Source organism: Homo sapiens, chromosome 19, assembly GCF_000001405.40.
Source record: "Homo sapiens chromosome 19, GRCh38.p14 Primary Assembly".
NCBI classification, from domain to species: Eukaryota; Metazoa; Chordata; class Mammalia; order Primates; family Hominidae; genus Homo; species Homo sapiens.
Window position 1 is genome coordinate 46,598,710 of NC_000019.10, and position 26,463 is coordinate 46,625,172.

Here is a 26,463-nt window from a genome sequence, read left to right on the forward strand (position 1 = left end):
ACTCTGCTGTTGAGAACCTCTAATGAACTTTTCAGTTCAGCAAATGTATTTCTCAGTTCTAAGATTTGTTTGGGTTTTTTTTAAATTATTATTTCAATCTCTTTGTTAAATTTCACTGATAAATTTCTGCGTTGCTTTTCTATGTCGTCTTGGAATTCACTGAGTTTCCTTAAAAATGCCATTTTGAATTCTTAGAAAGCTCACATATTACTGTCTTGTTAGGTTTAGTCACTGGTCCCTTACTTGGTCCATTTGGGGAGCTCATGGTTCCCTGTTTGCTTTGGTTTGTTGTTAATGTACATCTATGCCTTTGCACTGAAGGATTAGTCACTTATTCCAGCCTTCTCCGTCTGGCTTGTTTTGGCTTTTACTGGCTCCATTTGCTTACAGATTCTTCGTAATTGACCTGTTGGTTTCTTTTTTTCTGCTAGGTTGCTGCCTCCTTTTTAGCACTCAGTGGCACCTTAAAACCAGGTTTGCCTTGGCTCTATTAAAGATCAGAGCGTCTCCCATCCCGAATGGGGGAGGTCCCAAAGGGGATATCCCAGTAGCATAGGAAAGCTGGCTAGGGGTTCATTCCCAGGGGAGCTATGGAAGAAACCTCCCACAGCATGGTGCTAACGAACAGCCACTCTGATTTGGCATCTCCTTTGGCCAAGTTATAGAGTAGAGAGAGTTTCCAGGGCTGGGGATGGTAGTCCCACCTCCCCACTTTGTCTGTGGCTATTCTCAGAGGATATTTCTCCCTTGAGGCACTCCTGATGGTTGTATTCTTGTGATTACAGCACTTTGGGAGGCCAAGGCAGGCGGATCACTTGAGCTCAAGAGTTTGAGACCAGCCTGGCCAACATGGTGAAACCCTGTCTTTACTAAAAATACAAAAATTAGCCAAGTGTAGTGGTGGGTGCCTGTAGTCCCAACTACTTGGGAGGCTGAGGCAGGAGAATCGCTTAAACCTGGGAGGCGGAGGTTGTAGTGAGCCAAGATCATGCCACTGCACTCTAGCCTATGTGACAGAGCAAGACTCCGTCTCAAAAAAAATACAGATCTTGTGTGAACTAACAGAATAAGAACTCACTTGTTACCGTGAGGACAGCACCAAGTCATTCATGAGGGATCCACCCCTATGACCCAAACACCTCCCACCAGGCCCCACCTCCAACATTGGTGATCACATTTTAACATGAGATTTGAGACTGAGTAACAAGTGTTAGGATTAAAGGCATGAGCCACCGCGCCCGGCCATCTTCTTTACCTCTCCACTGTGTCAGTTTTATTTTTCTCTTCTTCTCTAGACACTTTGTTCCTCAAGATAGGGGGCAGAGTGGGAAAATGACCATAGTCAGAATCTATGGGAAGGACCCACCCAAAAGGAAAAGGCTTCTTGTGCCCAGGCTGCAGATCCAAACCCCAGGGAAGGACTCTCATTGGTTCAGTCTCCATTCTGTTCCAGGTGGAGCATAATGATTGGTCCAGCCTGACTCGTTTGCCCATCTCTTAACCATCAACATGGTGGGGAGGGGACACGCAGGAGACTGTCAGCTCCTATCCTAAACGGGGGAGGGGGCAGGGGTGATCATTTTCTGAGCTCCTATAAACAAAGTTTCAGTTCTTTTTCCTCCTATGGCTGGAACACTGGAATAAGGAAAGAGGTCGTCTGTCTGGAGAGGCTGGTTGGGGAGTATGGTCTCCCCAGCCCAGCCAAGCTCAGGTCCCTGCATACAGCAGGCGCCTAATTGATGCTTATAGCACGAATGACTGAATGAATACCCCGTTCCCACAGGCTGTCCTGGGATGGTCCTAATTTCACAGACCCTGAGCGGATCAAGAATGAAGCGGGCCCAGGGGTCCCGCCCACCGGCTGAGTGCGTCTTAGGACGCAGAGACAAGACCACGGAGGGCGGAACCTCTGAGCGTTAGGTGGCACCTTGGAGACCCCGCCACCTCCAAAGGCCCAGTTAGGGGCGGAGCTTCTAAACCCTAGCATTTTGGATTGAACCATCGTCCGTCGGTTAAAGGGGAGAGCCGAGAAAGCCCTTCTGCATTTGTCGCCAGCCTTTTTACCACCTCCTGGCCACAGAAACGACGTATTTGCTTCTCTAACGGCGACGCCGTTTCCCCCTTCGCCTCGTTACTCCTCAAAGCCCCACGCGGCCACAGAGTTCAGACTTACCCACCACCACCTTGCAGTGGCTCGCCCCAGTTTGACGCATTGCAGGGAAGGTCGGACCAATGGGCGCCAAGCTCTCATTTCCGCCATGGGCCAGGCCCAATAGTGACGCGGCTCACAGAGGGACGCGTCACGCACCGCCGAGCTGTGCCCCTCCGCCGAAGAAAGTGAAGTGGGCCCGGGAGGCGGGGCGCGCGGCGAGGGAAAGTAGTCCGGCGACGGGAGCGAGCGCGCGCGCGCCCGGCGGCAAACCCAATTCCTGTGCAGGGTGGGGACGAGAGATTCGCGGGCCCGTAGGTGTGGAGCGGGGCGCGGAGGGATCCGTGGGAGCCGCAGTGCGGCGGCGCGCGGGCCGGGTGGGGCGGGGCCGAGCGAGGCGGGGCGCGCGCGGCGGCCGTTGAGGGACCGTTGGGGCGGGAGGCGGCGGCGGCGGCGGCGCGCGCTGCGGGCAGTGAGTGTGGAGGCGCGGACGCGCGGCGGAGCTGGAACTGCTGCAGCTGCTGCCGCCGCCGGAGGAACCTTGATCCCCGTGCTCCGGACACCCCGGGCCTCGCCATGGTGAGTGAGGCTGGGGGGTCGCCGAGGCTGCGGGCTCTGAGGCGGGCTTAACGGGGCAGGACCCCTGAGGGGGCGACAGAGCCCAGAGTGGGGGGCGTCCGGGCCCGGCGAGAGCCTCGGGACCCTTTTCTACCCGCGTTGTCGGGGGCTGTTGAACCCAGAGCGGGACGTCTGGATCACCAGAGGTTTCCAGAAGCGACTTTAGCACCAAATGGGATGTTTAAGTCCACAAATGGGTATCTGAGCCCCTAAAGGGGACATTTGAACCCCGGATGGAGGATCGGGACCCTCAGTGGGACCCCTCAAAAGGATTTTGGACCCAGGATGGGGCGTTGGGTTTCAGGATGGAGGTGTTTGGACCCCAGGGGACGAAATAAGAAAGATGGGCTGGGGAGGGGAGCTATTCGGGCCCTGATGAAGGCGTTTGGTCCTGAGAGGATGCGGGGAACGGGGGACGAAGGGAGGCTGGGCTGCTCCTGGATGGGGTGGTGGAGGGTAGCTGGGCCCGGGCGGGGAGGGGCGACCCCTGGGCTCCTGTGGAGCAGAGGAGAGGGTCAAGGATGGGCGGTCACTTCTACAGATGAGACTCCCGAGGGTGGGGGAGGGTGGGGGAGGGTGGTCTCCAGAGCCCAGCACTGCAGAGGAGGAGGAGGGTGAGGTGCAAGCTTATGGGAGGAAGAGCCTGGGGTGGGTGGCAGCGGAGATTAGAAGATACTCTTGAAGGCTTCCGGGACGGAGAAGGATCAGGGTCGTGGAGGTGGTGAAAAGGGATGGTGAGAGTGGGGCTCGCCAGTAGTCGGGGGACAGGGACCCTTGGGGTTAATTTGGAAGTAGCTAGAAAAGGTTCCGAGGTTACTAGTGGGTTAAGACTGTTGCTCTAGAAAGACAGAATTTTTTTAACGGGGTGGGAGTGTTGTGTTTGGGTCCAAGAGAAGATGGATTTCCAAGGTGAGGGGTGGGGGAGGACTTGGGCTTGGGTGGTTGGGAGGTGAGGTGGAAGGAGAAAATGAATGGCAGTCAGGGGGGCCTAGGTTTGGGGGTGGATGTGGGTAGCACCCTGCCAGTCTCCAGGGACAGGCCAGGACAAAGACGGCTCAGTGTGGATGGGGAGTGGGCTGCAGGGCCCGGAGGAAGCTTTTCTACCGTCCTCCTTCCTCAGGAAGAACGCGGCTGGGTGGAAGACACCGGGGCAGTGGGAGCAGGTGGGCGGAGCTGTTCGGGCCCCTATTGCGCACTGAAGCCTCATGAAATGGGGATGGGAGATCAAAGTTTGGGGTGCCTCGAATGAGCCAGCTTTTTCAAGCCTAGAAGCCTCACTCTGTCGCTGCCCTTTTCAGGCCAAGAGCACTGCCTTTTCCCAGCAGGAGCGCCGGTTTTCTCATGATCCCCAGCCCCACGCACCATGCTGCACCTCGTCACTTGTGCCAAATGACAGTGCAGTACAGTGTGGCGTCAGTGACAATCAGATGCCTATTCCCGTGCCCTCGGGGTGGGGGCTGCAGAGCTTGATCAGAGAGTGCCTCTGGGGAGACCCCTTGATCGGCCTGAGGGCCACTTGTTCCATTCAGGGCCCTCGCTGAGCGTGTCTGTTAATTCACAGGGCTTTGAGAGAAAACCAGCAGACTAGTTCTTTCCTACTCCCTGCCACCCACAACACCCACAGCCCCACCAGGCTGAGCCTGGGAACCGTGTGCAGCCATCCTCCCTGGCAAGGCTGGGGAGAACAGGCAGCCGCTGCTGTGTATCAGATCTCATACTTGCTGACACAGACCTGATGGCTCCTCTTGCCGCTACCCCATTTTCCCCCAGCAGAACCTGGCTAAAAGGGGCCCTGAAGCACTAGCAGGCCCCCTACCTCCAGAATAGGACCCAAGCTTTGGCCACAACTAGTTTCTCTTTCTGTTTGTAATCAGCAAGGTAGAGGTGGGACAAGTCACTGGTAACTGGCCTTGGACTTTGGCCTGAGCTCTGTGGCTCCTCCTTGGCCCGGGTGAGGGGCCCTGGCCTTGGTTTCTGATCTCATCTAACACTGCTCTCTGGCATTGGCTGGGGGCTGGGGCAAGGCAGAGAAATCACACCCTCTTCCCTCCCCCACCTCATGGTTTTTTTTCTTGTCCAGCCCCTTGCTGGAGCCTAAGATGAGGGATAAGGAAGCAGGAGACCAGCTGAGTTATTTTGGAAACAGTTTTTGTTGAAAGTTTAGTCTTCAGGTCTAGAAAGGGAAGAAACCTTGAGCAAGGATCAATGATATCTTCTTAGGCGGTCGGTTTTCTGGGCGGCAACCTTGCTTGAGATCTGTACCTTTCCTTGACCAAGCAGGGAAGTGGGTCTCCAACATGGGAGGGAGAGCATCTGACAGGCCCTCCATGCAGAGCCACGCCTATTTGCAGCAACCCTGTGACAGAACTGAACATGGCAGTGCCTCATCTGCATCTTCCAGTCTTTTGGTGGAGACTGGCAAACGGTGGCCTTCAGAGCCGCTCGGGGCAGTCTGCAGCCTGTCACAGCCTCCTCGCCCCCACCCCCAGCCCCTTACAGTGCTGCCCAAAGGTCCGGGGAGCTGGACTTCTTGCAGGGCGGAACAGTGGGCTGGGAAGGCCCTGACCTGGCTCGCTTTTTCCATTCTAGGCCAGGGGAAAGAATGAAAAGCAGATGGGATGGCAGCCACCTCCCCACACTGCTGCCCTCCTCTCTGTTCTTTCCCTGACCCTCCCTGGGCATTGCCTGGTCTCGGTAACCAGAAGCCCATCCTCCCTTCTCACTTTCCCTAAGCCTCTTCCTCAGGTGTCAGGACCTAAGGGATGGCTCCAGGCTTTTTTGTCCATGGTGGGAGGTGGGGGGCAGGTGGATCAAGAGGCTCATGGGCCTGGGGCTACCAGGTTGGCATTTAGAAGCCCAACCACCCTGTCTTTTTTGAAGGCAATGCAGAAGAATCTTCATTTGGCCTCCCCACCTCCCCTTTACACTTTGGACTTTTCCAGAATGTGCATGTGTGCCGTTTTCTCCCTTCCTCTTTCCCCCTCCCTAAGCCCTCTCCCCTCTGTGATCATCATTTTGATTACCCCTCCCATTCTGCCTATTTGGGGCTTGCAAGTTCTTCTTCCGTTAGGTTTTTTTTTTTTTTTTCTAACTTTTTTAGATCAGTGATTGTTAATATTTGGGACGGGGATGGGGGTAGGGGAGGCAGGCAGTGGTTTGTTCCTAGCTTCTGGAACCTCTCCGTAGAATACTGCAAATTCACATAATAGTCTGCTTCTATTTCTGAGGCTCTCAGACTCGAGACTAGAACATGCTATAGACTTGGAGCCCCTTTCCCTGATTGTGAAAGGAAGGGGAACAGACCCACCATGGTCCCGGGATGGTGGTGCCTTCTTCACAGCATCAACAAAAACCAGGGAAAATGTGTCTTTTGGCTGCTAAAGCTAAATGTTGGGATTCAGCCTCCCCAACCCCCCAGCCCCGCTCCTGCCCCATAGGATCACTATGCCTGGCTGATGCCCAGCACACCAGTGCAGGAGAAGCCAGTCCCCGCATCTCCTCCCCACCCCCAAACCCCGCATGCAGCAAGGGCTGCCTGCCACCCACTGGCCAGTCCCCAGAGTGCCCAAGCTGGAAAGGGTTAAAAACTGCAGTGCAAGCCAGCTTCAGTCCTCTGCTGCTGCCCGCTGCAGCCCTCTCCCTGACGTTTGTCCCTTCTGCCCAAAAGAAACAAAACAGAATGGCCCTGTGCCCTCACTGTGCGCAGGGGGTGGAGCGCCTGCCTCCAGCCTGACCAGAGTTCTTTAGGTGCTTGAGCAACTCGGGCCGCCGGTTAGGAGAATTTTTGCCACTTGGGTGGACTCTGCCTGAGCCAACCGCCTCCAAATAGGTGACACAGAAACTAGCAGAGATAGCCCCAGACATCGTCCCTCTGCCCTACCCAAGGACTGGCCTGCTTCAGTTTGGAGCCTTCTAGAGCTTCTTGATGAGGCCTCCAGGGCAATCGTTCCCTTCACTCGGCCTCTGGGGCTCTCACTGATGAGATGCAAACCTGTGCCAGGCCTCACCAGCGCTGCTGGTTTGGGGCTGGGGCAGGCTTTTCTCCCGCCCCTGTGGCTCCCACATGCTGAGTTGAGATTGGAAGCCCGTGGGTCTGGGCAGCTTCATCGGGCCGTGCGTCCAGCAGGCCTGAGTGTCCAGCCCACCCTGGTACCCAGCTTTCTGAATCACCAGACTTTATCATCAGGCGCTGGCTCTGCCTCAGACCCTGACTCTGGCATGCTCCTCCCTGGCCCGGCGGGAATGGCACGTGGAGCTGGCCTCACTGGGGCCGAGGGTCTGGGCTGAGTGAGGAAGATGCGTCCGTGCTGTCCGGCCTGGTGACTGACTTTCCCCTTCATGCTTTTACAGGCTGACCAGCTGACTGAGGAGCAGATTGCAGGTGAGTCTGCTATCCCCCTCATCTTAGCTCAGGAAAGCCTCCACATCCCCAGCCAAATCTTAGCCACTGAGGAGTGACATCTGATGGGTGAACCTGTGTATCCCTTGTGTCACCTAACACTATGCCTTGTGCCTAGAATGCTGATAAATGTGTGTAAGAGCACACCAGTGCCCCAATGACACGAAGCCCCATGGCCCTGAGACAGGCCTTTACCAGACACCAAAGGCTGTGTTCCTCTCCTGGGCCTGGGTCATCTAGGGGCTTGATATCAGTGGCTGCAGGACGAGCCCAACTCTCTCTCCCAGCTTCAGCCAGGTTGGCTTAGAAGGTGAGCTCCCTGCCTCCCTGTGGGGCCTGCAGAGCTCCTGTCCCACTTTAGGAGCCGCCCAGGAGCTGGCTCGTCACTCCCACCTCTGCGCTTGCCTGCGCTTTGCACTTCCTTTCGCATGTGCCTGCGCCTGCCTGTTCTGCTGGCGGAAGTGCCTCCCCAGTGCTTTGCATGGGCAGCTCCTTCCCGTCCCTTAGCTCAGATGTCCCCTCGGGGAGGCCTTCCCTGACCCCCATCTCAAGTACACAGCCTTCCTTTACTCTCCTTCACATCACTTTATTTTCTTCATAACCTTTCTCGCTGTCTGAAATTATTTTCTTATGTCTTCACCTGTTGTATCTCCTGTTACTAGATGTGAGTTCCATTGAGTTTGGGACTTGGTTTTGTTGGTCCCTGCTATAGCCTTAATGCCTGCCTAGAACGTAGTAGGTCCTCCGCAAACTTTTGCTGGCTAAACAAACATCTCTCTCTCAGCAAGCTAGAAGAAATCCCTGGATCCCATCTAATTCATTTTTCTAACCCCTCCAAAACCCCAGAAGGGTCAGCTACAGGAACTATTGTGTAATTACAGATCCGTGCCTGCCTACCCGCCCATACTGAGCTGCCCGAGGACAGAGAGCAACTCTTGGTTTATCTCCATAGCCAGGGGCCAGCACACAGTAGACCAGAGTAGCGATCCAGAGAATGGGCCTCTGCTCCCCACCAGCTACCCAGCCCCCAGCTCTGCTGTCAGGTTCAACCGGCTGTGTAACAAGTACTAAAGGCCCAGCTTCTGCGGTGGGAGGCAGGAACGGACTTGCCTTCTCTCCTTTCTCCCCTCAACCCGCATCACAGAGTCACCTTTGCAGCTTCAAAATTTTGGCCCTGGGTGGCTATGGAGACCCCTGAGGAAAGCCAGAAGATGGCCTGGTTTAGTGATCATGAGCTCGGGGTGCCCCATGACCCACTCACTACCTGCCCTCCCCAAGAACAACAAGGCCTCAGCACAGGGAGGTGCCAGCCTCCCCAAAGAGACTCTTGCCATGTCCCCAGGGCCCAGAGGCTCAGGGCCACAGCTTCCCAGCTGTGCATGTCCCTCCCAATGCACCTGCCACCCATCTCCCAACTCTGGCCTTGTGCAACATAAACGGTCTGCTTTTCACCCTGTCCCCATTAGCAAACTGTCCACCGCCTCACCCCAGCCCACACCCTCTGGGAATAGGCTGCCGGACATCTGTTTTTGGAGGGCTTGGGGGTAGAGGAGCACCAGGTGCCAAAATGGGCCCAGTGGGAGGGCAAGAGCCATGTGCTTTTCTCCCTGCCCCTGATGCGGCCCCAGCTGTGGCCTTCCCACTCAGCACTGCTAGCTCCTCATCCTCCTGGCTTGGCAGCCGTCCCCTCGCTTTCCATCCCCCCATCAACCCCACGCACTGTCCGTCAGCCATGTTCTGCTGCCGACCACCCCCACGCTCACCACACGCAGTGGCTCAGCTCCTTTGGAAGCTGGTAGCACCCACGGCAAGGAACAGGGCTGCCAGTCAGAAGGGAGTGGATGCCTGCATTTCCTCTTCAGGCCGGCCAGAGGCATTCTGCAGCCTCCCCTCCTCGTCCCAGCCAGCCAACCCTGGCTAACACACTCAGACAAAGAATCCTTTCGGCTCTCATTCACTCCATGACTTTGGTTCATTTCATCATTTCAAGGGAGAAGTCAAAGCCAGGGACCAAACAGAAATGTAGAATCATCTAAGGACAGCTGTCAGACCATTTTCCCCACTGTCTTCACTGGCTGGCCAGAAAAATAGCTTCACCTAGCACAGTGTTGATGTTCAATAACTGTTGAATGAAGGTTGGAAGGGCTTTGCCCTGAGCACTGAGGAGAGAGAGCTGGTTGCGTGGGACTTGAAGTCTGTCTCAGTTTCTTTAGGTGGGACTGATGCCCTTGGCCTTCCTCCAGGGAAGGCATCCAGCATCCAGAGGTAAGGATTCTCCTGTGGACCTTGTGACCTCTGACTCCTCCCCCTTCTTCCCCCAGAGTTCAAGGAGGCCTTCTCCCTCTTTGACAAGGATGGAGATGGCACTATCACCACCAAGGAGTTGGGGACAGTGATGAGATCCCTGGGACAGAACCCCACTGAAGCAGAGCTGCAGGATATGATCAATGAGGTGGATGCAGATGGTGAGCCCCACAGAGCGCGTGGGCAGCCCTGCTCCTGGTCACCCCGAGTGACTGCAGGGAGCCTCTCTCAGGGTGATGGATGAGCCCGTGTCTCTCAGGGCCCAGGCCAAGAGCATTCTCCATCCTTTCCCCACCTTCCAGGGAACGGGACCATTGACTTCCCGGAGTTCCTGACCATGATGGCCAGAAAGATGAAGGACACAGACAGTGAGGAGGAGATCCGAGAGGCGTTCCGTGTCTTTGACAAGGTAAGCAGCCCTCTCCAGGGGCGGCTCTGAGACTGACGCCAGCCTTCAGGCAGACAGGCGGAACTGGAGCCACGGAGCTACCACTTCCAGGAGGTCCGGGTCCCGGTGCCAGCCTCATTGCCAACCTGCTCTGCCACCTCAGGCAGCCTCCCTCACTGTGCTCACTGCTGAGGGATGGTGATGACAGCCACCCCTCTCACTGCCTCTCTCCCCACCGGGAGAAGTGCCCAGTGAAAGGCTTTATCCCCAACCCCCAGGATGGGAATGGCTACATCAGCGCCGCAGAGCTGCGTCACGTAATGACGAACCTGGGGGAGAAGCTGACCGATGAGGAGGTGGATGAGATGATCAGGGAGGCTGACATCGATGGAGATGGCCAGGTCAATTATGAAGGTGAGTCAAGGCCAGGCTTGATCTCTGGAACAAGAAGAGAATCGCAGCTTCAGGAACAAGCCCCCAGATCCCTCTTGTTGGGGAGGGCCGCTCGCCACTTAGCCTGCCCGCCTGACCTCCTCTCTCTCTGCTTCACTCCACAGAGTTTGTACAGATGATGACTGCAAAGTGAAGGCCCCCCGGGCAGCTGGCGATGCCCGTTCTCTTGATCTCTCTCTTCTCGCGCGCGCACTCTCTCTTCAACACTCCCCTGCGTACCCCGGTTCTAGCAAACACCAATTGATTGACTGAGAATCTGATAAAGCAACAAAAGATTTGTCCCAAGCTGCATGATTGCTCTTTCTCCTTCTTCCCTGAGTCTCTCTCCATGCCCCTCATCTCTTCCTTTTGCCCTCGCCTCTTCCATCCATGTCTTCCAAGGCCTGATGCATTCATAAGTTGAAGCCCTCCCCAGATCCCCTTGGGGAGCCTCTGCCCTCCTCCAGCCCGGATGGCTCTCCTCCATTTTGGTTTGTTTCCTCTTGTTTGTCATCTTATTTTGGGTGCTGGGGTGGCTGCCAGCCCTGTCCCGGGACCTGCTGGGAGGGACAAGAGGCCCTCCCCCAGGCAGAAGAGCATGCCCTTTGCCGTTGCATGCAACCAGCCCTGTGATTCCACGTGCAGATCCCAGCAGCCTGTTGGGGCAGGGGTGCCAAGAGAGGCATTCCAGAAGGACTGAGGGGGCGTTGAGGAATTGTGGCGTTGACTGGATGTGGCCCAGGAGGGGGTCGAGGGGGCCAACTCACAGAAGGGGACTGACAGTGGGCAACACTCACATCCCACTGGCTGCTGTTCTGAAACCATCTGATTGGCTTTCTGAGGTTTGGCTGGGTGGGGACTGCTCATTTGGCCACTCTGCAAATTGGACTTGCCCGCGTTCCTGAAGCGCTCTCGAGCTGTTCTGTAAATACCTGGTGCTAACATCCCATGCCGCTCCCTCCTCACGATGCACCCACCGCCCTGAGGGCCCGTCCTAGGAATGGATGTGGGGATGGTCGCTTTGTAATGTGCTGGTTCTCTTTTTTTTTCTTTCCCCTCTATGGCCCTTAAGACTTTCATTTTGTTCAGAACCATGCTGGGCTAGCTAAAGGGTGGGGAGAGGGAAGATGGGCCCCACCACGCTCTCAAGAGAACGCACCTGCAATAAAACAGTCTTGTCGGCCAGCTGCCCAGGGGACGGCAGCTACAGCAGCCTCTGCGTCCTGGTCCGCCAGCACCTCCCGCTTCTCCGTGGTGACTTGGCGCCGCTTCCTCACATCTGTGCTCCGTGCCCTCTTCCCTGCCTCTTCCCTCGCCCACCTGCCTGCCCCCATACTCCCCCAGCGGAGAGCATGATCCGTGCCCTTGCTTCTGACTTTCGCCTCTGGGACAAGTAAGTCAATGTGGGCAGTTCAGTCGTCTGGGTTTTTTCCCCTTTTCTGTTCATTTCATCTGGCTCCCCCCACCACCTCCCCACCCCACCCCCCACCCCCTGCTTCCCCTCACTGCCCAGGTCGATCAAGTGGCTTTTCCTGGGACCTGCCCAGCTTTGAGAATCTCTTCTCATCCACCCTCTGGCACCCAGCCTCTGAGGGAAGGAGGGATGGGGCATAGTGGGAGACCCAGCCAAGAGCTGAGGGTAAGGGCAGGTAGGCGTGAGGCTGTGGACATTTTCGGAATGTTTTGGTTTTGTTTTTTTTAAACCGGGCAATATTGTGTTCAGTTCAAGCTGTGAAGAAAAATATATATCAATGTTTTCCAATAAAATACAGTGACTACCTGATTTGGCTCCTCTCCTCCTGTCTCAGTTTCTGGCCTGCCCCCCTCCAACACACATACACACCAACCCCAGCACTGACTCCTTTGGCCCAGAGGTGGAAGAGCCTCTCCTCAAAGCTGGCTCTGAAGCTGTGTCCAGTCAGTGCAGCCCAGTGGACGCCTCTGAACCACAGTTCTGATCCCAGCTAGATCGCAGGGTCATCAACGGCAGGGTCCTGTCCTAGAGATAGTCGCACAAATGGACTGAAAGGCGGGGACTGAGAAGGCTCCTCTGAGGCAGGCCCATCATGCCATGGGAGCACACAGAGAAGGGGTCAGCCCAGTCAGGTGGCAGGACTGAGCTGAGACCTACCTGAAAGATGGGCAGTCCCCTAGCCGGGTAGGGGAAGGACGGAAGGGCATTCCAGTTCGGGGGGACGACATGTATGGAAGCCCTGAGGCAAGAGAAGCCCAGACATCAAGGAACTGAAGGAAATCCAGCGAGACTGGGTGAGAGCCCCGAGCAGCTTGGAGCCCAGCCGGGTGAAGAGAGGAAGGCAGGGGCAGGCCCTGCAGTGGGTGAGCCTCTTGATGCTTTGGGGAGAGGGGTGGCATTCACTGCTTTAGTCTCACAGGCAGCCAAAACATGCCAAGTTTGGATCTACAGTGGTGAGAAAGGCATGGTCCTGAGCTCACAGGGAGGGCACGGGACTCAGTGTTGGTTTGAAGATCTGAAACAAAAAGCCCAAAACAATTGCAAACCACACAAGGCAGAGTACAAACCACTATGCGGTCACAGCCAAATTACAAACCACAGAAAGCTCAACTTTCTCGTGGCAAGTGGGGATGTGAGGAAGAAGCCGCCTCAACAGCGCCCAGTGGCACATTCCTGTAATCCTCCTACTTTGAGAGGCTGAGGCAGGAGGATTGCTTGATGCCAAGAGTTTGAGACCAGCCTGGGCAACATAGCAAGACCCTCCCATTCCAGTGGGGCTATAGTGGAGGGATGGGTCAGAATCCTCAAGGGCTCTTCTCATTCTCCCTCGGGGGAATGGGGAATGAGAGGTTAATAAGCATTGTCTTTAACTTCTGAGCTTCTCACACAGGAGCTGGGCAAGGGTGGAGCAGAGACAGAAGTCAGTGGAATAAAAAGAGGTCCTTCCACTCATCTGCACTTGGCCTCAGAGGGCAGGGGAAGCCTGGCCCAATCCCAGGGCCCTCCTTGTGGCAGAGAGATCAGGCCTCGGCTGGGTTTTCCTGGTGCATCCCAGTCACCGGAGCCAGCGGCGAGGGTGGAGACATTGGGAGTGGCAGGCCATTTTCCAGGGCCCCAGCTTCTGGGCCCCCTTTTCCTGCCACCTGGTTGTGGCTTGGCATTTGGTGGTGCAGTAAAGACGGTAGAGTATAGTGGATAACTTGGGGTCTGAGCAAAAGCACCTGCCTTAGCATTCCGGTTCCAGCACTTACCTGCCTTGTGGCCTTGGGCAGATGCCTTAGAGTTTCTGGACCTCAATGACCCTGTCCACAAAATGGGGGTATAATGGTACCTGCCTCCTGAGCTGAGGATTGGATGAGGCTACAGGAAGGAGGGGGGTGTGCAGTGCTCAGGAAGTGTTCTGTGAGCACCTGCCGCCACTGGCTGGGTGCTTCCTGCTTCATGGGCTGCCTTTGAAGCTCTGCATCCATGAGCTCATCGGAGCCTTAAAGCAACCATTTGGGCTGGATGCCATTAGTTCCCATTTTGCTGACCAGGAAACTGAGGCCCAGAGAAGTGAAGTCACTACTGCAAGGTTATGAAGTAGGAAGTGACACAGCCGGAATCTGAACCAGATCTAACCCTGAGGAGTCCAAGCCCACAGCAGCTGGGCTTTAGGGTAAATGGTAGTTTAAAAACAGACAGACTTCAGGCAGGCCAGAGCCAGAGCCAGTGGGGAGGCCAGGCTGAGGCTGGCGTCCCAGTGGTGGGGTCTGAAATGGGAGCTGCCCCCTTAGCAGTAAGGGTACCTGAGAAAAATTCTGGTCTAGTAGTTGAGTCAAAGATGGGCTGTGGTTTCCCACAGGATTGGGCTCAAATCCCAGGTTGAGACTCACTCACAAGAGTGAGTCTTCGTGCTCACTAAGTCCCAAGGGGCCACCTCTGCCACTTCAATAAACTTGGAGCAGCGATTTAACTTCCCTTGGCCTCCATTTACAAGTCTGCAAAATGGCAAAGGATAATAATCTGTAAAGGAAGACGATACAAATATCCACCAACTTGGGTTGTGCCAAACTTTTTTTTTTTTTTTTTTTTTTTTTTTTTTTTTGAGATGGAGTCTCACTCTTGTCTCCCAGGCTGGAGTGCAATGGCATGATCTCGGTTCACTGCAACCTCTGCCTCCCAGGTTCAAGTGATTCTCCTGCCTCAGCCTCCCGAGTAGCTGGGATTACAGGGTCATGCCACCATGCCCGGCTAATTTTTGTATTTTGGTAGAAACGGGGTTTCACCATGTTAGCCAGGCTGGTCTCTAATTCCTGACCTCAAATGACCTCCGCCTGCCTCAACCTCCCAAAGTGCTGGGATGCCAAACTCTCTCTCTTTTCGCCTCCCCCTACCCCCCCATGCCCCCCCTTCCCCCCCAGCCTAGGCTGGAATGCAGTGGCGCCATCTCGGCTCACTGCAACTTCCGCCTCCCAGGTTCAAGCAATTCTCCTGCCTCAGCCTCCTGAATAGCTGGGATCACAGGCGCCACGCCCCACTAATTTCTTTTGTATTTTAGTAGAGACGGGGTTTCACCGTGTTGCCCAGGCTGGTCTCAAACTCCTGAGCTCAGGCAGTCCGCCCGCCTCGGCCTCCCAAAGTACTAGGATTACAGGCGTGAGCCACCGCGCCCGGCCGTGCCAAACTTTATAGACATCATTTCACTTAGTTCATACCCAGGCTGGATGGACTGATTAAAACGCAGCACCCGCTCAAGGTGTGCGGACCCTGCCCAGGCTTGCCGGCAGGAGTCACTAGAGAAATCTGGCAGTAGAGGAGTGGAGGCCGGGCAGGTGAAGCCTCTTGCACCACACTTACTGGAAGCAGCTGAGCGGGGTCTCAAAGCCCAGCGCACTCGGATCCCAACGCCCACGCCTTCTCCCACCGCATCCCGGTACCCATGCTTCTCAGCGGCCTATAAGTAGTTTCCCCCTTGGGCCCTATGTTTTGAAAGACTTTTACTGCCAGACAGGCTACATTATTAAATAATCATGACTTCCCTTCCCATTTTTTATTAATCAAAGACAAATAGACCGCACTCAGCTTCTAATGGCCCCTGGGCAAGCGCTGAGGGGAGCCGGCTCCAGCCCAAAGAAGAGAAATGCCTAGACCGGGAGTCATTTCCAGTTCAGCCTCGCAGGTCTACCAGACCAGCTCAAAACCTGTCCTGAGAAAGTGACTAGAGAAGGGGACTTACCAGGGATGCCCAACCAGGGCCGCCTGGGATCCTCGGGCTCCCAAGGATCCCCTCACTTCCCAGAGGGTGGCTCTGGGGCCACTCCTGAGTGTCACTCCCAGTGTGACCAGCAGGTGGGGCAATGACCACGGAAGACCCTGAAGAGCTGCAACTCCCAGGCCCAGCCCACGGCATAAATCTGTGTGCGCCGGTGTTTAAGTCCCATTTGTGGGTCAGGCCGGGTGCTAGGGAGATGGGAATGAATAAAAAGAAAGAAATCGTAAAATGAATCAAGTCCCCTTGAGTCCCCCGTTCCCAGCACATCACTTCCTGAGCCCCACCCCAGACTAGGGCAGGCGCCTAGAGCAGTCAGCCTCTGTGTCTGCTGGTTTGAGCCAACTGCAGATCAAAAATATTCAAAACACACAGGGTGCGGTGGCTCAAGCCTATAATCCCAGCACTTTGGGAGGCTGAGGTAGGTGGATCACCTGAGGTCAGGAGTTTGAGACCAGCCTGGCCAACATGATGAAACCCCATCTCTACTAAAAATACAAAAATTAGCCAGGTAAGCTGGGAGCGGTGGCTCACGCTTCTAATCCCAGCACTTTGGGAGACCAAGGCAGGTAGATTATTTGAGGTCAGGAGTTCGAGACCAGCCTGGCCAACATAATGAAACCCCGTTCCTACTAAAAATACAAAAATTAGCCAGGCGGTAGTGGTGCGCACCTGTAGTCCCAGCTACTCAGGAGGCTGAGGCAGGAGAATTGTTTGAACCCAGGGGGCAGAGGTTGGAGCGAGCTGAGATAGAGCCACTGCACTCCAGTCTGGGCAACAGTGAGACCCTGTCTGCCCCACCCCCCCAAAAAAAATTAGCCAGGTGTGGTGGTGGGCTCCTATAATCTCAGCTAGTCGAGAGGCTGAGGCCCAAGAATTGCTTGAACCCGGGAGGTGGAGGTTGCAGTGAGCCGAGATTGTGCCACTGCACACTTGGGTGACATAGCGAGACTCCGTCTCAAAAAACAAAACAAAAAAAACACAATAAAATATACAACTTTTAAAACAATACAGTATAATTATTTACATAGCATTTGCATTGAATTAGGTGTTATAGGTAATCTAGAGATGAGTTAAGGTATAAAGGAGGACGTATGTAGGTTATATACAAATATGACACCGTTGTATATAAGGAACTTGAGCATCCACAGATTTTGGTATCCCAGGAGGGTCCTGAAACCAATCCCCCTAGGATACCGAGGGATGACTGTCTATATTTTCACAGATCCTTGTACTGTGCCCTCTTAGTACGGCTTGTGATTTTGTATCTGAGCTGCTTATTATAAAACATTTCTTTTTGAGACGGAGTCTCACTCTGTCACCCAGGCTGGAGTGCAGTAGTGTGATCTTGGCTCACTGCAAGCTCCACCTCCCCGGTTCACGCCATTCTCCTGCCTCAGCCTCCCAAGTAGCTGGGACTACGGGTGCCCACCACCACGCCCGGCTAATTTTTTTGTATTTTTAGTAGAGACGGGGTTTCACTGTGTTAGCCAGGATGGTCTCGATCTCCTGACCTCATGATCCACCCGCCTCAGCCTCCCAAAGTGCTGGGATTACAGGAGTGAGCCCCCACGCCCAGCCAAAACATTTTTTTTTAGACAGAGTCTCGCTCTGTCGCCCAGGCTGGAGTGCAGTGGTGTGATCTCGGCTCACTGCAGCATCAACCTCCCGGACCCAAGCAATCCTCCCAACTCCACCTCCCAAGTCGCTGGGAATATAGGCACAGACCACCACGCCCAGCTAATTTTTGTATTTTCTGTAGCGAAGAGGTTTCACCATATCACCCAAGCTGCTCTTGAACTCCTGGGCTCAAGCGATCCACCTGCCTCGGCCTCCCAAAATGCTGGGATTACAGGTGTGAGCCACTGCGCACGACCTTTGTAACACATTTTTATGTGATTATTCAATCACCCACGTGGATTGTGAACGAGGTAGGGCCAAGGCTATGTCAGTCACCACTATATTCCCAGTGGGCACGAGGCAGCCTCGGGTCCAGACCAGAGCAACTCAAGGTAATGTATGTTGAGTTAATGAATATACAGGAGGCTTAGAAGGGAGGCATCAGATGCCCCAAGTTGGAGGTGTAAGCACGACAGAAATGCTTTTTTTTTTTTTTTTTTTTTTTTTTAGACAAAGTCTCACTCTGTCGCCCAGGCTGGAGTGCAGTGGCGTGATCTCGGCTCACTGCAACCTCTGCCTCCTGGGTTCAAGTGATTCTCCTGCCTCAGCCTCCCAAGCATCTGGGAATGCAGGTGCCCGCCACCACACCCAGCTAATTTTTGTATTTTTAGTAGAGATGGGATTTCACCATATTGGCCAGGTTGGTCTCAAACTCCTGACCTTGTGATCTGCCTGCATCAGCCTCCCAAAGTGCTGGGATTACAGGCATGAGCCACCGCACCTGGCCAGAAACCCTTCTCTTAACTTGTTTCACTTTCTGCTAAACCTCAGGTCCCCGCTCAGCCATCCCCTCCTTTCAGAAGCCCTCCTGCCTAGACACCCTTCCACCCTGCTTCATGACCATTCTGAGGACAGGGCTGTCTCCCCCACCAAACTGAGCTACGGGAGGGCAGGGCCAGGTCTATCTCTATCACTGCCATGTCACCAGCATCACAGGGACAAGCCCTGACATACAGTAGTCCCTCAACAAGACCCTGCGGAGCGGGTGAGCAGACACACGTCCTTGCCATGGCAGGCTGTGGCCAGTGCCATCGTGCAGCCGAAAAAGTTCTGAGGGCCCGCTGAGGGAGGAGTGGTTGCATCTTCAAGGAGGAAAAATGTAAGAAAGAATTTGAAGGGCAAGGGTGTTTTTGACGGATGGAAAAGGGAAAAAACAGTTCCAGGAAGAGTGAGCTCAATAAGCAAAGATGCGGGGGCCCAAAATGTCACGGCCTCTTTGAGGAAACCGCAGCCATCTGTTGCGGCCTCAGCCAAGGCCTGCAGGGGGGTGGGAGCGCGGGAGCTGGCCAGGAGCCTCCAGGTGGCGCCTGAGCCCTGGGAGCTTTCCAAGGCTGGCAGGGACTGCCAGATAGAGCTCTCTGGACAGGACCCGGGCAGCTGGCAGAGAGGATGAACTTGGACAGTCAGGGGCCAGGATCCCATCTAGGAGGAGTTTCCAAATCACCCCCGAGGGGCAAAGGGTGGATGGGGGGCATTGTCTGAAAACCTCTGGCCTGTTAGACAGTGTAGACACCCAGGTCAGAGGTGGGGTGAGGGGAGGGGTCTGCAGCAAACAGTGAGATGTCAGGCCCTGGGGGAGTAAGAGCCCACAGAACCCCAGCTTCTACGTTGCATCCTCACTTCCCCTTAATCCTCATCTGAAAAATGGGAATGAGAGCAGCACCCACCGCAGGCAAGGATGCTGTGGTCCAACGCTCAGCTCTGCCTGGTACACAGTGAGCCCTCAGAGGCCAGATGGGCAGAACTGACCCACCTTCGGGGGTGACACAGAGAGAGGAGGTGAGCACCCTTCAATGCCCTTCTCCAGAACCCCCCATCCCTTCCTCACCATCCTCTGTTGGGGGTAGGAGGGTTGGCCAAGGTTTGGCCAGGCGTGGTGACAAAGTCAGGTCCCAATCTGATGTTTGTCAACCTGTTGTGCTTTTGCTTTTAACAAGGGCTTTTTTTTTTTTTTTCTTTGAGGCAGAGTCTGGCTCTGTCACCCAGACTGGAGTAAACATCTCGGCTCACTGCAACCTCCGCCTCCCAGGTTCAAGCAATTCTCGTGCCTCAGCCTCCTGAGTAGCTGGGACTACATGTGTGCGCTACCACACCTGGCTAATTTTTGTAATTTTTTTTTTTTTTTTTTGAGACGGAGTCTGGCTCTGTCGCCCAGGCTGGAGCGCTGTGGCGTGATCTCGGCTCACTGCAAGCTCTGCCTCCCGGGTTCACACCATTCTCCTGCCTCAGCCTCCCGAGTAGCTGGGACTACAGGCGCCCGCCACCACGCCCGGCTAATTTTTTGTATTTTTAGTAGAGATAGGGTTTCACTGTGTTAACCAGGATGGTCTCTATCTCCTGACCTGGTGATCCGCCCGCCTCGGCCTCCCAAAGTGCTGGGATTACAGGCGTGAGCCACTGCGCCCGGCCTAATTTTTGTATTTTTAGTAGAGATGGGGTTTCACCATGTTGGCCAGGCTGGTCTCAAACTCCTGACCTCAGGTGATCCTCCTGCCTTGGCCTCCCAAAGTGTTGGGATTACAGGTGTTAGCCACCATGACAGGCCAGCACCCAGCTAATTTTTTTATTATTATTTGTAGAAACAGGTTCTTGATATGTTGCCCAGGCTGGTCTTGAACTCCTGGGCTCAGGGGATCCTCCCGCCTCAGCCTCCCAAAATGCAGGGATTACAGATGGGAATCACCTCGCCCTGCCTACTTACTTTATTTTTTAAATTTTTTTTTAATCGCAGTAAGATACACATAACATAAAAGTTGCTATTTTAACCATTCAAAGTTACAATTCAGTGGCATTCAGTGCATTCACACTGTTGAGCAACCCTCACTACTATCCAATTCCAGAACATTTTCATCACCCCAAAGGGGAACCCCAAGCTCATTCATGGGTGACCTTGACCTGTTTTTAACTCTCCCAGACACCCCTTGTTCTGCTTTATTGTGATTTGAAACGTGGTTACCTGGGCAGGGTGGGGGAAGTCAAAACACCCGAACCAGAGCCAGGAGGTGGTTTCCTTTTAAATTGTATCTGTCCAAATAACAATAGCAACAGCTGCAGCAATGGCAATCATAGTGACATTTCTTATGGGCTTTATTCCAAGCCCTGAGCTAATTTGCTTTTCAGAGGGAATTGCTTAATCCCCAAAGCCGCCATGCAAGCTAAGTGCTAGATTATGATCAAAAGGAAACCAAGGTGTCCCGGAGTGGATAGACGGGCCTGCTCCAAGCCCACGCCCACTCGCTGTGTGAGTCGGGACAGGTGGATTATCATCTCTGGACCTGGACTCCGTCTTCTGTAGAAAGGACTTATTGCTGGGCTCAGAGGCTCCCACCTGTAATCCAAGCATTTTGGGAGGCTGAGGTGGGAGGATCACTTGAGGTCAGGAGTTCGAGACCAGCCTGGCCAACGTGACGAAACCCCGTCTCTACTACAAATACAAAAAAATTAGCCAGAGGTGGTGGTGCACGCCTGTAATCCCAGCTACTCGGGAGGCTGAGGCAGGGGAATCACTTGAACCCGGGAGGCGGAGTTTGCAGTGAGCCAAGATGGTGCCATTGCACTCCAGCCTGGGTGACAGAGTGATATTCTGTCTCAAAAAAGAAAGAAAGAAAGAAAGAAAGAAAGAAAGAAAGAAAGAAAGAAAGAAAGAGAGAGAGAGAGAGAGAGAGAGAGAGAGAGAGAGAAAGAAAGAAAAGAAAGAAAGGAAAGAAAGAAAGAAAGAAAGAAAGAAAGAAAGAAAGAAAGAAAGAAAGAAAAGAAAGAAAGAAAGAAAGAGGATTTATAATAGGTTGCCCTGTGGATGGAGTGGGAGGAAGCGCTGCCTACCCCTCGAAGAGTTGGCTGCTGTTGTCCTCATGGGAGGCTCAGGCCTCACGTACCGCGCCTCTCCCCAAGTGTGGATTTTTTGTTTTAACAGAGGGGGAGAGTAGGAAAGGGGAACTGGGACTGGCAGTGCAGTGGGGCTGGGTGGGGGGAGTTCCCACTCACCCTCCCCCACCCTAAACGCCTACTCACTTCCTTCCATGCTCATCAGCTCACTCCTGAGCACCCTCCATCCTGGGCCTCTCTGAGGGCAGGGAGTGGTCATGAGAAGCCTGTGTGGATGGCAGGCTGGAAATCACCCCGGCAGGGCCCAGGGTGGAGCAGGGGCTTGTCTGTGTCCTTAACACCAGGCAATCAGCACTGCTGAATTTCAGTGGAAGGTTGAGGGTTTTTTTGGGTTTTGTTTTTGAGACAGTGTCACTCCGTCACCCAGTGGCACGATCTCAGCTCACTGCAGCCTCAACCTCCCACGTTCAGGTGATCCTCTTGTCTCAGCCTTCCTAGGAGCTGGGACTACAGGTGTGCACCACCACGCCCAGCTAATTTTTAAAATTTTTTTGTAGAGACAAGTTCTCGATATATTGCCCGAGCTGGTCTCAAACTCCTGGGCTCAAGGGATCCTCCCACCTGAACCTCCCAAAGTGCTGGGATTACAGGCATGTGCTATGGTGCCCAGCCAAGTATCTGTTGAATGAATGAATGAATGAAATCTTGGTGAGGGCTCTAAGGACACATAACATGAGGTCAGGCTCTGCAAGGAGGCTTTTATTTATTCAGGACCCTGGGGACAGGCACAGGACTTAGGTTTGTGTTCTGGGGCAGTCCCTGGGATCCGCAGCCCCCACCCTTCATCTGCCAGCTTCTCCATCTGTCTCCCCACCACCTGCACCCCCCCAGTTCTCATCTTGCAGCCAGTCAAGCTAGGTGGAATGTCTCAGGCCCTTTTTGTACCAAGCACATGTCCTACGTCATCACCCACAATGCAGCAGCCTCCCCTTCCTCCCGTTGCCCCTTTGGGATGCCAGGGCTCCCAAGCCTGGTGGGGGACCAGCGGCAAGGGAAGGCAGGGAGCTTTTCCAATAACTGTGGTTTTTGTGGAGCAGAAAGGGGCTGGCTCTTGGAGTGGCTTGGTAGAGGGGGAGGGCCATCCCCTGGGGACTTGGGGTGGGCAGTTGGGCCTCCTAAGTGGACGCAGATTGGAGCCAGCACCCAGACCAGAGCAGACCTGACTGTACAGAAGCCTCTGGGAACTTCTCCGCCTTCTAAATATTTAGACAATGAGATGGATGGGGAATCCAGGGCCAGAGCAGGTCGGCCAGGCCACTGGTTATTTTGAGAGAACCATTCTTTCTGCACTCCAGGATAAACGTTTCCTCTGTCCCTCACTCTCTTCCCAGAGCCAGCAGCGACTGCCCTGCCGCAGGAGAAACAGCAGCTGATCGGCCCCAGAGTTTGGGGGCCAAGGTTCCAGCATCCGCAGCCATCAGCCATGTCCCTGATTTTCTGGCTCCTGTCGCCCGAAGACAGGGCAGAGATCACAGGGTCAGCTTGAAATGTCAGCAGAGGGAGCAGGCGACGCTGGCTTCTGCTTTGGACGACGTTCCCACGGCGCTGCCGCTGGACTGCTGTGTGGGAGGCAAGGGCTCCACCTGCCCCTCGCCCCAAGCCGACAAAGGCACGCAGCTCCCCTCCTTTCCCACAGGAGCAGAGGGGGCCCTTGGGTCCCTCCTCCCTGAGGCGAGCTGGGAAAGGGGTGTCTGCGAGTCTCCGTGGGCAGGCCCGAGGCACAGGCAGCAGACCCAGAGCTTGAGTCGCTGGAAGACAGCCTTGCGGAAAAGGATGAAGACCCAGGGGTCCAGGATGGGGTTGAAGGCGTAGAAGCGGAAGGCAAGGAGGTCCCCCATCTCACTGCTGCTGTCAGGGGCGACAGCCTGGGTGAAGCAGCGGATCTGAGGGCAGGGTGAGGGCGTCAAGGAGCACCCAGGAGTCCTCAGCCTCCCCACCCTGGCTCCCTCCTCCCACTTGCTTACCAGGGATGAGGTAGGGGTGACATGTCAGAGGGGAAGGAGATAAGATAAAGACTAAGTAACAAATGTATCTGGGGAACACAGGGAGAGAAAGCCCCAGGAAATTGCCAGAGATGCCTAAGGGGAGAGGGATGGGGGCCAGGTATGTGGGTCCCCCCACCCTTGGAAGCTGGGAGGACCCTCGGGCTCCACAGATTTTTGAGTATAACGTCCCTGCAAGAAGGTGGCGCCACCCGGCTGGGCCCCCTGAAACTGCCGCAGAGCTGCGGTGGTGCCTGTGTGTATCTGTCCACGGCATCTGAGTCTCTGAGTCAGAGTAACCCCCAAAAAAGATTTAAGGACCCCCCAATCCGGCCTGGCCTCTTGCATTTTACAGAAACAGAAACTGAAGCTCAGAAGAAAGGTGGCACGACCAGGTGTCACAGACACTGAGTGGGTACCAGGGTCTGTGCCACTCCCATTGGGGAGGGGCAGGACGGGGTCCCCGCAGGAAACCGAGGTGCAGAGGCAAGGGTGGGGCCTGCTCTGAGGCAGAGGGGAGCCAGGTAGGTGGGAGATCAGGCTCTACAATGGAAGGACCCAGGACCAGGACCTGGCTCTGTGTGACTGGGCGAAAGACACTGCCCCTCATCTGTAAAAACGGGGATGGGAGAGAACGTTCTCTTGGTTTCCTGCCAAATACTGTGGAATGGGTGGCTATGATCATTTTGAAAATTATCTTAGGAAGTATCTGTAAGCCACTAAGCACGGGGCGGGCATAGAGAAGTGCTCAATGAGTGGTGGTCTTGTCATTACAGGGGTGGGGAAGGATGGGGGATGCATTTCATCATGGGGGGCTCAGGATGCCTAAGCTGGGAGACAAGGTATCAGAAGAAGTCAGATGCAGAAAGACCCCTCCAGAAAGCCAGGAGCTGTCTGACTGAGGACCAAGCCTCTGTCTGATTTGTTTTTGTTTTCTTTGTTTTTGTTTTGAGACAAGGTCTTGCTCTGTCAGCTAGGCTGGGATGCAGTGGTATAATCACAGCTCACTGCAGCCTCAACCTCCCAGGCCGGAGCAATCCTCCCACCTCAGCCTCACAAGTAGCTGAGACCACAGGCACAGGCCATCATGCCAGGCTAATTTTTAAATGTTTCATAGAGATGGGGTTTCACCATGTTGCCCAGGCTGGTCTCAAACCTCTGGGCTCAAGTGATCGTCCTGCCTCGCCTTTCTTTTTCTTTTTTTTCTTATTTTTTTTTTTTTTTTTTTGGGACGGGGTCTCACTCTGTCACCCAGGCTATAGTGCAGTGGCACGATCTCAGCTCACTGCAACCTCCGCCTCCGGGGTTCAAGCGATTCTCCTGGCTCAGCCTCCCAAGTAGCTGGGACTTCAGGCATGTGCCACTACGTCCGGCTACTTTTTATTTATTTATTTGTTGTATTTTTAGTAGAGACAGGGTTTCATCATGTTGGCCAGACTGGTCTCGAACTCCTGACCTCAAATGATCCGCCGGCCTCGGCCTCCCAAAGTGCTGGGATTACAGGTGTGAGCCACCGCATCCGGTCCTGCCTCGGCCTTTCTACATGCTGGGATTACAGGCGTGAGCCACCATGCCCACGATGTCTCACCTCTTTTGAGCCTCAGTCTCCCCATCTGTGACATGGGCACAACCCACAGAGCTGCCCTCCTCCTCTCCCCACTCCTCCCAGCTCCGGAGGGGACTCACCGTGAGAGGCAGGGAGCACACGGCCATGACCACTGTCATGAGGGCCAGCAGGATCAGGTGGTCCACCTCGTCCTCTCCGGTGCGCGGCCGTGGACCCAGAGAGCCCTGGTGGCGCTTCTGCTGGCGGTACATGCGGCAGAGGCTGAGGGTGACCGAGCCGTTGCAGAGGAAGATGGCAGCCACCAGCAGGGCCACCAGGCCGGCGTAGGCCAGCGAGAAGGCGGCGCCGCCCGGCTGGGCCCAGCGCATGCGGAGGAAGCACCAGCTGCCGGGGCAGTACTGCTGGTGTTGGCCCAGGCCCAGCAGGGGCAGCGCGCAGAAGAGGACGCAGAAGGCGTAGATGGCTGGCAGCGCCAGGCGGGCGCAGCGGGGCCCGTCCAGCTGCGCGTAGAGGTAGGGGTGGCTCAGCGCCAGGCAGCGCTCCACGGCCATGGCAAAGAGGATGAGCATGGACGCCAGGCCGAAGAAGGTCATGGCGAAGGCGAAGGCATCGCACAGGGCGGGGCCGCCTCGGGCCAGGCCCAGCAGGGAGCTGTTGCGCGCATAGGCCACGAACACGGCCGGGCTCAGGAAGCTGGTGCCCAGCAGGTCGGTGGCCGCCAGTCCGGTCACCAGCACCGCGAAGGCCGAGGGGCGCGCCGGTCGCCGTGCGCTCAGGATGCCCAGGGCCAGCCCGTTGCCCACCACACCGGCCACGAACATCAGGGTGCTGGTGGCCGGCCCCACCGAGCCCCGCACGTAGGTGAGGTTCCTGCACGAATCCGCCATCCCAGGTCTGGGCTGGAGGGTTCCCAAGGTGGGGGGTCAGAGGGAGCCAGGGCTACCCCCACCACCCAGCCCACTCAGATGTCCCTGCTGGCCAGTCCTTTTGGCAGCTGGGGCCTCCCAGCCAACCCCCAGTTCTCCTGTGTGTGCGGGTATGCAGTCCTCTCCCCTCTGGCTTCTCCAGTATCTCTCTCTGTCTCTCCCCACCTTCCTGTTTCTCTTTCTCTCTTTCTTTTCTTTCGTTTCTTTTGAGACAGAGTCTCACTCTGTTGTCCAGGATGGAGAGCAATGGCATGATCTCGGCTCACTGCAACCTCCACCTCCTGGGTTCAAGCGATTCTCCTGCCCCAGCCTCTGGAGTAGATGAGATTACAGGCGTCCACTACCACGCCCAGCTAATTTTTGTATTTTCAGTAGAGACGGGGTTCCACCATGTTGGTCAGGCTGGTCTCGAACTCCTGACCTCAGGTGATCCATCCACCTTGGCTTCCCAAAGTGCTGAGATTACAGGTGTGAGCCACCATGCCTGACACCCACCACCCCCCCACCACCTCCTGTTTCTTTCCTTCTCTAGCTCTGTTTCTGCCATTAAAGAGACAGAGAACATCCGGGCATTGCCAGTTCTTTCCCTCCCTGTCTCTCGGTCTCTTGCTGATATCTCCCTGTCTCTGTCCCCTCCCTTGTCCTTGTCCTCCCCGTACCTTTCTCCCTCTAACCCCACACCCTCTACCTGCTCCTGCTCTGTGTTGCTGCATCCCCAGCCCCTCACCGCACCTCTCCAGTCTTGCCCAGGCTCTCCTGTCCCGTGCGTCTGTGCCTTCACTTGCTTTGCTCCTCGTGTCTCTCGCTGCCTGTGTCGGTCTGTGTGTCAGCTTCTCCTTCCCTCCTCCCTCCGTCCCTCCCTCCTTCCCACCCTCCTCAGCTTGCCTGCTCACCCCAGCTTTTTCATT

General features: G+C 55.3%; 2 protein-coding genes, 1 long non-coding RNA gene and 1 pseudogene across 16 annotated transcripts in view, besides 8 other annotated features; 1 reads left to right on the top strand and 3 right to left on the bottom strand.

The window, feature by feature from the left end:
* PPP5D1P (PPP5 tetratricopeptide repeat domain containing 1, pseudogene) overlaps positions 1–2,207 on the bottom strand; it is an 82,238-nt pseudogene extending 80,031 nt beyond the window's left edge. For both annotated transcript variants that reach the window (NR_172902.1, NR_172903.1), the window contains exon 1: positions 2,174–2,207. The product of NR_172902.1 is annotated as a PPP5 tetratricopeptide repeat domain containing 1, pseudogene, transcript variant 1 (transcript). The remainder of the gene's footprint in view (positions 1–2,173) is intronic.
* Positions 1,886–2,385: an enhancer, noted in NCBI's record as "active region_14842". NCBI's record gives its function as "activates an Ori minimal core promoter by ATAC-STARR-seq in GM12878 lymphoblastoid cells {active_cell/tissue: GM12878}" and the evidence as "EXISTENCE:reporter gene assay evidence [ECO:0000049][PMID:35858748]".
* On the top strand, positions 2,365–12,073 carry CALM3 (calmodulin 3). Of its 7 annotated transcripts, NM_001329923.1 has the most exons (7): positions 3,360–3,381; positions 3,888–3,930; positions 7,118–7,148; positions 9,488–9,631; positions 9,773–9,879; positions 10,137–10,272; positions 10,416–12,073. In NM_001329923.1, the coding sequence occupies exons 4-7, from the start codon at positions 9,562–9,564 to the stop codon at positions 10,442–10,444; spliced, it is 342 nt and encodes a 113-aa protein (NP_001316852.1). In that variant the 5' UTR covers positions 3,360–3,381; positions 3,888–3,930; positions 7,118–7,148; positions 9,488–9,561; the 3' UTR covers positions 10,445–12,073. The 7 variants fall into 7 exon arrangements, with proteins under 7 accessions (NP_001316850.1, NP_005175.2, NP_001316853.1 ...); NM_001329921.1 differs by lacking the exons at positions 3,360–3,381; positions 3,888–3,930 and adding an exon at positions 2,365–2,467; NM_005184.4 differs by lacking the exons at positions 3,360–3,381; positions 3,888–3,930 and adding an exon at positions 2,621–2,728.
* Positions 2,516–2,655: a silencer, noted in NCBI's record as "silent region_10814". NCBI's record gives its function as "represses an Ori minimal core promoter by ATAC-STARR-seq in GM12878 lymphoblastoid cells {active_cell/tissue: GM12878}" and the evidence as "EXISTENCE:reporter gene assay evidence [ECO:0000049][PMID:35858748]".
* Positions 4,114–4,183: an enhancer, noted in NCBI's record as "active region_14843". NCBI's record gives its function as "activates an Ori minimal core promoter by ATAC-STARR-seq in GM12878 lymphoblastoid cells {active_cell/tissue: GM12878}" and the evidence as "EXISTENCE:reporter gene assay evidence [ECO:0000049][PMID:35858748]".
* LOC124904729 (uncharacterized) lies at positions 9,115–10,451 on the bottom strand. Its single transcript, XR_007067276.1, has 2 exons — positions 10,389–10,451; positions 9,115–10,296 (listed from the first exon to the last, which is right to left on the bottom strand). It is a non-coding gene; the product is annotated as an uncharacterized LOC124904729 (long non-coding RNA).
* PTGIR (prostaglandin I2 receptor) lies at positions 11,978–26,380 on the bottom strand. 6 transcript variants are annotated; one of them, XR_935844.3, is made up of 5 exons: positions 26,288–26,380; positions 24,749–25,528; positions 15,483–15,706; positions 12,422–12,779; positions 11,978–12,289 (listed from the first exon to the last, which is right to left on the bottom strand). XR_935844.3 is itself a non-coding variant. In XM_005259095.5 (3 exons), exons 2-3 carry the CDS (start codon positions 25,514–25,516, stop codon positions 22,920–22,922), a joined length of 774 nt encoding a protein of 257 aa, XP_005259152.1. In that variant the 5' UTR covers positions 25,517–25,528; positions 26,288–26,380; the 3' UTR covers positions 21,759–22,919. The 6 variants fall into 6 exon arrangements, 3 of the variants coding, with proteins under 3 accessions (XP_005259152.1, NP_000951.1, XP_005259150.1); XR_430206.4 differs by having other exon boundaries at positions 11,978–12,709; XR_243945.4 differs by having other exon boundaries at positions 11,978–12,779.
* Positions 15,492–15,541: an enhancer, noted in NCBI's record as "active region_14844". NCBI's record gives its function as "activates an Ori minimal core promoter by ATAC-STARR-seq in GM12878 lymphoblastoid cells {active_cell/tissue: GM12878}" and the evidence as "EXISTENCE:reporter gene assay evidence [ECO:0000049][PMID:35858748]".
* Positions 15,712–15,811: an enhancer, noted in NCBI's record as "active region_14845". NCBI's record gives its function as "activates an Ori minimal core promoter by ATAC-STARR-seq in GM12878 lymphoblastoid cells {active_cell/tissue: GM12878}" and the evidence as "EXISTENCE:reporter gene assay evidence [ECO:0000049][PMID:35858748]".
* Positions 17,813–18,314: an enhancer, noted in NCBI's record as "H3K4me1 hESC enhancer chr19:47119779-47120280 (GRCh37/hg19 assembly coordinates)". NCBI's record gives its function as "activates a minimal SCP1, AML or CMV promoter by ChIP-STARR-seq in naive H9 embryonic stem cells {active_cell/tissue: H9 hESC(naive)}" and the evidence as "EXISTENCE:reporter gene assay evidence [ECO:0000049][PMID:30033119]".
* Positions 18,315–18,814: an enhancer, noted in NCBI's record as "H3K4me1 hESC enhancer chr19:47120281-47120780 (GRCh37/hg19 assembly coordinates)". NCBI's record gives its function as "activates a minimal SCP1, AML or CMV promoter by ChIP-STARR-seq in naive H9 embryonic stem cells {active_cell/tissue: H9 hESC(naive)}" and the evidence as "EXISTENCE:reporter gene assay evidence [ECO:0000049][PMID:30033119]".
* Positions 22,160–22,674: an enhancer, noted in NCBI's record as "H3K4me1 hESC enhancer chr19:47124126-47124640 (GRCh37/hg19 assembly coordinates)". NCBI's record gives its function as "activates a minimal SCP1, AML or CMV promoter by ChIP-STARR-seq in naive H9 embryonic stem cells {active_cell/tissue: H9 hESC(naive)}" and the evidence as "EXISTENCE:reporter gene assay evidence [ECO:0000049][PMID:30033119]".
* Positions 26,381–26,463: the final 83 nt, after the last annotated feature.

What these genes read in the sequence shown, in the direction of transcription:
- CALM3 (NM_005184.4), top strand. An exon ending in GACTGAGGAGCAGATTGCAG is followed by an intron (nt 7,149 to 9,487) that starts GTGAGTCTGCTA and finishes TTCTTCCCCCAG; the next exon opens with AGTTCAAGGAGGCCTTCTCC. An exon ending in TGGCCAGGTCAATTATGAAG is followed by an intron (nt 10,273 to 10,415) that starts GTGAGTCAAGGC and finishes TTCACTCCACAG; the next exon opens with AGTTTGTACAGATGATGACT.
- PTGIR (NM_000960.4), bottom strand. Translation starts at nt 25,516, where the DNA reads ATGGCGGATTCGTGCAGGAACCTCACCTACGTGCGGGGCTCGGTGGGG. An exon ending in TGTGCTCCCTGCCTCTCACG is followed by an intron (nt 22,964 to 24,748) that starts GTGAGTCCCCTC and finishes CCCTGCCCTCAG; the next exon opens with ATCCGCTGCTTCACCCAGGC.